The sequence below is a fragment of the Homo sapiens genome, chromosome 6, assembly GCF_000001405.40.
Source record: "Homo sapiens chromosome 6, GRCh38.p14 Primary Assembly".
NCBI classification, from domain to species: domain Eukaryota; kingdom Metazoa; phylum Chordata; class Mammalia; order Primates; family Hominidae; genus Homo; species Homo sapiens.
In genome coordinates, this window is record NC_000006.12 from 43,308,988 (window position 1) to 43,316,175 (window position 7,188).

Sequence of the window (7,188 nt, forward strand, 5' to 3'; positions counted from 1 at the left end):
CAAAGAGCATTAAAGCCTCGGTCAGACCCACGGGGAGGAGAGAGGATCTTGAAGCCGTGGACTCCAGACTAGGAAGGCACATGTGTAACGAAGACACCTGGACAGGGAGCTCTACTAGTTTCTGGAGCGGTAAGGACAGGAAAAATGTCCACAGTGCAGACATCATTAAAACACTACTCTCTCCAAAGCGAGGGAGTAGGCATTCTTTGAAATGCAAAATTCCACCTTGGCAGTATAGCAAGTGGTTGAAAGCAACAAAATCTGGAGCCCGTCTCTGGTACCCTACTCTTTGACTTCAGGCAAATTACTGAACCTCCCTCTCTGCCTCCATTTTCTCATCTGTGCAATGAGTATGATAACAGTCTCTGCCTCATAGGATTGTTATGAGAGTTAAATAGGTTAATACATGTAGAGTGCCCAAACAGCGCCTGGCATGTAAACGCTGTAACAGCTATAGCTATCACTATGATGGATCCCTTAATGAACTCAAGACTCGGTTTGGAAGCCTCAGAACATGGTCTGTATACAATCGTTTACTCCTAAAGCTGTAGGGTGGCTGGACACAGTGGCTGACACCTGTAATCCCAGCACTTTGGGAGGCCAAGGTGGGCGGATCGCCTGAGGTCAGGAGTCCAAGACCAGCCTGGCCATCGAGGCGAAACTGCGTCTCTACTAAAAATACAAAAATTAGCTGGGCGTGGTGGCGCATGCCTGTAATCTCAGCTACTCGGGAGGCTGAGGCAGGAGAATCGCATGAACCGGGAGGTGTGGAGGTTGCAGTGAGCCGAGATCGCACCACTGTACTCCAGCCTGGGGGACAAGAGCGAGACTCCATCTCAAAATAAATAAATAAATAAAAATGAAAACCAACTACACATTTCTAATCTGGTTTGCTTTAAAATTTTTAAATATTTGTGTTTTTAATGAATGTATTTATTTGAGGCAGGGTCTCTGTTGCCCAGGCTGGAATGTAGTGGTGCATCGTAGCTCACTGCAGTCTCCACCTGCCCGGCTCAAGCGATCCTCTCACTTTAGCCTCTGGAGTAGCTGGGACTACAGACACATGCCACCACACCTGGCTAATTTTTGTATTTTTTGTAGAGATGGGGTTTTGCCATGTTGCCCAGGCTGGTCTCGAATTTCTGGGCTCAAGCGATCCACCTGCCTGGGCCTCCCTAAGTGCTGGGATTACAGGTATATGCCCCCATGCCCAGATAAATATTTGTTAAAAGTAGTTCAATAGACTCTCTGGCACCATTAAAGAGATCCTGGGGACTGCCCAGTCTGTGGGCTGTAATGTTGATGGCCGCCACCCTCATGACATCATAGATGATATCAACAGTGGTTCTGTGGAATGCCCAGCCAGTTAAGCACAAAGGAAAATATTTCAATAAAGGATCATTTGACAACTGGTGGAAAAAAAAAAAAGTAGTTCAATAGTGCTTCAAAGGATATTTCAAGAAATTTAAATCCAGAGAATGGAAGAAATATTTGCAAATCTGATAAGGATCTAGTAACCAGATTATATAAATAACTTATAATGCAATAACAAAAAGACAACCCAATTAAAAGTGAGCAAAGTATTTGAATAGATGTTTTTCTAGAGATACACAAATGGCCAATAAGCACATGAAGAGATGCTGAATATCAATAGTCATTAGGGAAATGCAAATTAGGACCACAATGAGATACCATTTTATACTGACTAGGATGGTTATAATTAAAGAGACAAATATTGGCAAGAATGTGGCAAAATTGGATCCCTCATACATTGTTGGTGGCAACATAAAATGGTGTGGCCACATTGGACAACAGTCTGGCAGTTCCTCAAAAAGTTAAACATAGAGTTACCATATGACTCAGCAATTCCACTTCCAGGTTTATACCCAGGTATATAAGAGAAATGAAAACATATGTCTATACAAAAACTTGTACATGAATGTTCATAGCAGGACTATTTACAATAGTCAAAAGGTAGAAACAGCCCAAAAGTTCATTAACTGATAATGGATAAACAATATGTAGTATATCTGTATGATAGAATATTGCTCAACTGTAAAAAAGAATGTAATACTGATGCATGTTACAACACAGGTAAACCATAAAAACATTAAGTAAGAAAAGCAAGACACAAGAGGCCACATATCATATGAATCAATTCATATGAAATATTTAGAATAGGTAAATCCACAGAGACAGACAGTAGATTAGTGGTTGGCCAGTCAAGGAGATGGAATTGGAAATGTCCACTAATGGGTTCGAAGCTTCTCTATGGGAAGATAAAAATGTTCTGGAATTAGATAGCAGTAATGTTTGTACAACCTTGGAAATATACTAAAAAGCATGAACTGTAGACTTTAAAAAGGCGAATTTTATGGTATATGCGTAATGTCTTAACAACAACAACAACAACAACAATAGAACCTGAAGAAAACTAAAGAAAAAAGGCGGCCAGAAGTGGTGGCTTACGCCTGGTCCCAGCACTTTGGGAAGCTGAGGCAGGTGGACCACTTGAGCCTAGGAGTTAGAGACCAGCCTGGGCAACATGGCGAACCTCATCTCTACAAAAAATCAGCTGGGCTTGGTGGCATGTGCCTGCGAGGCTGAGGTGAGAGAATCACCTGAGCCCGGGAAGTTGAGGCTGTAGTGAGCTGAGATCACGCCACTGCACTCCAGCCTGGGCAACAGAGTGAGACTGTCTCAAAAAAAAAAAAAAAAAAAGGCAGGGGGACTGGGGGGAAAGGTAGCCAATGAAGAGCTGGAGGGAAGAGCTGATAAACTTGTGCCAGTGTCCCAGCAGAGGAGACAATAATCAATCCCTCTATGAAGGATGGAAGTGAAACCGAGTTTTCTTGAGTAAGTTCCTTTGTTACATCAAATCCGTTGAGGAAGGGCTTGCACCAAATTCATCAATGGACTGCAGTGCTGTGCTCTGCTAGGTGAAAGGCGCACTGTCTTAAGTGTCTCCTCTTGGGACATCAGTTCCTTCATCTGGGTAATGGGGTAGGGACTGGGGTCTATGAACTTCCACTGGATATTCCTGTTCCTGAATTGTCTCCATCAATCCTTTTTACTTATAACACTTGTTTTATCATTCTTAAGTTCTAAGGGTAGAAGCCTTCCACACTGTAATTTTTCTACACTTTCTCATTATTTGTTTCTTGTTTCAGGGAATATTTCAAGATGCTTAGTTTTATAACTGTTTCTTGAAAGGCTTCTTCTTTAACAAATTTGAAAAATATTAGTTTTAGCTTCCACTGAATTTTCCTGTCTTGTTTCTGCCTCTCATTTCTTGTTTTTTTTTTTTCTTTTCTTTTTTTTTTTTTTTTTTGAGACAGAGTCTCGCTCTGTTGCCCAGGCTGGAGTGCAGTGGTGCGTTCTCGACTCACTGCAACCTCTGCCTCCTGGGTTCAGGTAATTCTCCTGTCTCAGCCTCCTGAGTAGCTGGGACTACAGGTGCGCGCCACCACGCCCAGCTAATTTTTGTATTTTTAGTAGAGACGGGGTTTCACCATGTTGGCCAGGCTGGTCTCGAACTCCTCCTGACCTCAAGTGATCCATGTGCCTCGGCCTCCCAAAGTGCTGAGATTACATGTGTGAGCCACCGTGCCTGGCCTAAAAATTATTTAAAAAAGAAATGAAGCCGGACGCGATGGTTCACGCCTGTAATCCCAGCACTTTGGGAAGCTGAGGTGGGTGGATCGCTTGAGGTCAGGAGTTCGAGACCAGCCTGGCCAACATGGTGAAATCCTGTCTCTACTAAAAATACAAAAATTAGCCAGGCATGGTGGTGCACGCTTGTAATCCCAGCTACTCGGGAGGCTGAGGCACAAGAATTGCTTGAACCTGGGCGGAAGTTGCAGTGAGCTGAGATCACACCATTGCACTCCAGCCTGGGCAACAGAGTGAGACTCAGTCTCAAAAAATAATAATTTTTAGTTTTTGTGGTTACCTAGTAGTGAGATTGCTACATCGTATATTGCTATGCTCTATTTTTAGATTTTGAGGAACCTCTAAACTCTTCTCCACAGTGGCTGTACTAATTTACATTCCCATCAACAGTGTATGAGTGTTCCCTTTTCTCTACATCCTTGCCAGCATTTCTTATTGCCTCTCTTTTGGATAAAAGCCATTTTAACTTGGGTGAGATGTTATCTGTTTTGATTTGTATTTGTATGATCAATTATGTTGATGATCTTTTCATATACCTGTTTGCCACTTGTACATCTTCGAGTCATTAGTTTCTTCTTGGAGGAAGAAGCTACAGGTTTACTGACTTTTGCTCCCTATGGCTCTCAGAGAGAAGTACCCACTTCAGGAGGTTGGGAGGACTGCATTGGTATGTTTATTCTTAGATATGCTGCCTCCTCAAGGAAGGCTAATTTCATCTTCCCAGGTTCTCAGAACTTCCAGGACACATCAAATAATCCTTTTCCAAGGTTCTCTAGCACTTTCTGTCTTGGATTACCTTGTGTGCTTGCCTCATCTGCCTGGGCAGGTCATCTTTACCCCAGCATCTAGCACAGGGCCCAACACAAAGGAACAAACCTTGCGGTGTGAGTCCCATGTTGCTTTCACATAGCTTGCAATCAGTCAGTGGCGCAAATGCTTTACTGCTCCCCACATCTTGTAGGGCCTTTATTGTATGGCCTAATCTCACAATATGCTTCGGCTCTTCTATTTCAGTGCTTAGGAAAGACTAGTTGAGGCTCCACCCTTCCAAACACTTGCACTATGCATTTGCAGGTACAGCAAATTACAGTAGTCCACTTTTCTTCTTTGCCTGGTTTCCATTATTGACTCGAACAGAAGCTATGTAAAGAATAACTGGGAAAACACATTTCTTGTAGGAATGCATTTGAGTTACTGACAGTGGATGTTTTGAAGAACAGTTGGTGTGACTAAAGTCTCTAAAATGATATTTTAATAAATACTACAGATGGGTAAGTCCACCTCAAAGAAGGTATTACTCAATTGTTAAGGTGCAGTTTGTGTCATCTCCCATTAGAGGCAGGCCTCTTTCTCACAAAGACCACTGTTCCCTTAGTGCCCGCCCTGCCTTTTTCCTGCACAGACCTCTGTTACAGTATCTGTAACATTGTATGACACTTGTTTACTTGTTTGACTTTGACAGAACTGATGGAGAATTATCTGTGTATCTTTAACAGTGAGTGCAGTATAGGTAATCAGTAAATGATAGCTATTATTATTAAACTCTCCCACTAACTTTACTTCATGTTTTTAAGCTCTATTATTAGGTACATAAATGTTTCAGGATTGTGTTTGCTCGAGGAATTAACCGTTTGATTAGTGTTGTTAGAAAAGCTGAAGAAACAAGCTTTTCCATTCTAGGTGAGTAAGTGGTCCCGTAGAGATAGTGACTTCTAGTCCCTGGAGGGCTGTCACATGGAAAAGGCATTAGGGGTACTACCAAGACCCCTGGAGAGAGAACACAGGGAAGCAGATTTGGATTAGGTCCCCTCCAAAACCCTTTTAATAGAGCCCCAATATAGAGTGGCTGCTTCAGACAGTGGTGAGCTTCCTGTTTCTGGACACAATACTGGACAATAAACCAACTGATCCTCAGTGTTGCAGAAGGTATCCAAATATCATATGCAGATAGAACTTTAAAGCCTCTTCATGATTTAACAATTATGATTCTGTGATTCCTTTCCCAAAAAGGAGCTTGAAACTTGTGTTAGAAAGAGGGCATTACTAGAGCTGATGAAGGGTAGAAATGTTACATTCCCAATTGTATAAAAAAGAAAGTGGCTTGGTAAGGTTACGAAATTAGTAAAACATTTGGCCAGGTGCGGTGGCTCATGCCTGTAATCCCAGCACTTTGGGAGGCCGAAGTGGGAGGATCACCTGAGGTTAGGAGTTCGAGACCAGACTGTCCACCATGGTGAAACCCCGTCTCTACTTAAAATACAAAAAACTTAGCTGGGCGTGGTGGCAGGTGCCTGTAATCCCAGCTACTCAGGAGGCTGAGGCATGAGAATTGCTTGAACCTGGGAGGTGGAGGTTGCAGTGAGCCGAGATCGCACCACTGCAGTCCAGCCTGGACGACAGAGCAAGACTCAGTCTCAAAGAAAAAGAAAAAAAGAAATGTGTAAAACATCATACAGACCCAAGCATTCTGACTCTTGAGCCCATACTCTTTCCACTCTATACCCCCCTAAGCATGGTTTTTGCCCATGTGTTTCAACCTGAAAAGACACTACACTTGTCTGCACAGCACCTCCATACCTGAAGATAAGAGGGCCTATCCAGGAAAATAATGGGTTGAGATGCAAGGGGCAGGGAAATGTCATTAAAACCTTTCCATGATTTCTCAGTATCCTCAAGACAGGACCCTCCACTTTTCCAGTCTTCTAGCCATTTCTCCTGTTGCATCGACCCCTCCATCCACATCAAATGAGCTTCTTGAATCTGTTAAGTTCTATTCTGCCTCAGGGCTTTTGCAAAGGCCATCTTTTCTGAGAATTCACTTCCCCAGTATCTTCACCTCATCAATTCCTACCTAACCTCAGCTCCCCCTCAACTACTCCACACCAGGTTATTGACCCCAAGCACTGTTTCTATACCACCATCCTCTCCTGGAGGGTAGAGGGGGCCCAAACTATGACAGCTGTGTTTTCCCTGAGTGCTGAACCAAATAAGAAATAAAAGACAAACAGAGATCCTTTATTATTATTATTATTACTATTTTGAGACAGTCTCATTCTGTTGCCCAGGCTGGAGTGCAGTGGCATGATCTCAGCTCACTGCAATCTCTGCCTCCCAGGTTCAAGTAATTCTCCTGCCCCAGCCTCCCTAGTAGCTGGGATTACAGGAGTGTGCCACCATGCCCGGCTAATTTTTGTATTTTTAGTAGAGACAAGGTTTCACCATGTTGGCCAGGCTGGTCTTGGACTTTTGACTTCAAGTGATCCACTCACCTTGGCCTCTCAAAGTGCTGGGATTACAGACATGAGCCACCACCCAGCCCATCATCTTTATTATTGATAAAGGACAGGTTGTAGTTTAGAAAGTGAAATAAATATGGTAACTTCCTGCCTACCTCCTCCACTCCAATCTGGGCTTTGTCTGCCCCCTTAGTCTGTGAGATCCATGAGAGCAGGGACCAGGCTGCTTTGCCAACCATTGCATATATTTCCAGTGCCTTGCTCAAATCTCTGGCACATA

General features: G+C 43.3%; 1 pseudogene; it reads left to right on the plus strand.

The window, feature by feature from the left end:
• RPL12P47 (ribosomal protein L12 pseudogene 47) lies at positions 1,244-1,417 on the plus strand (annotated as a pseudogene).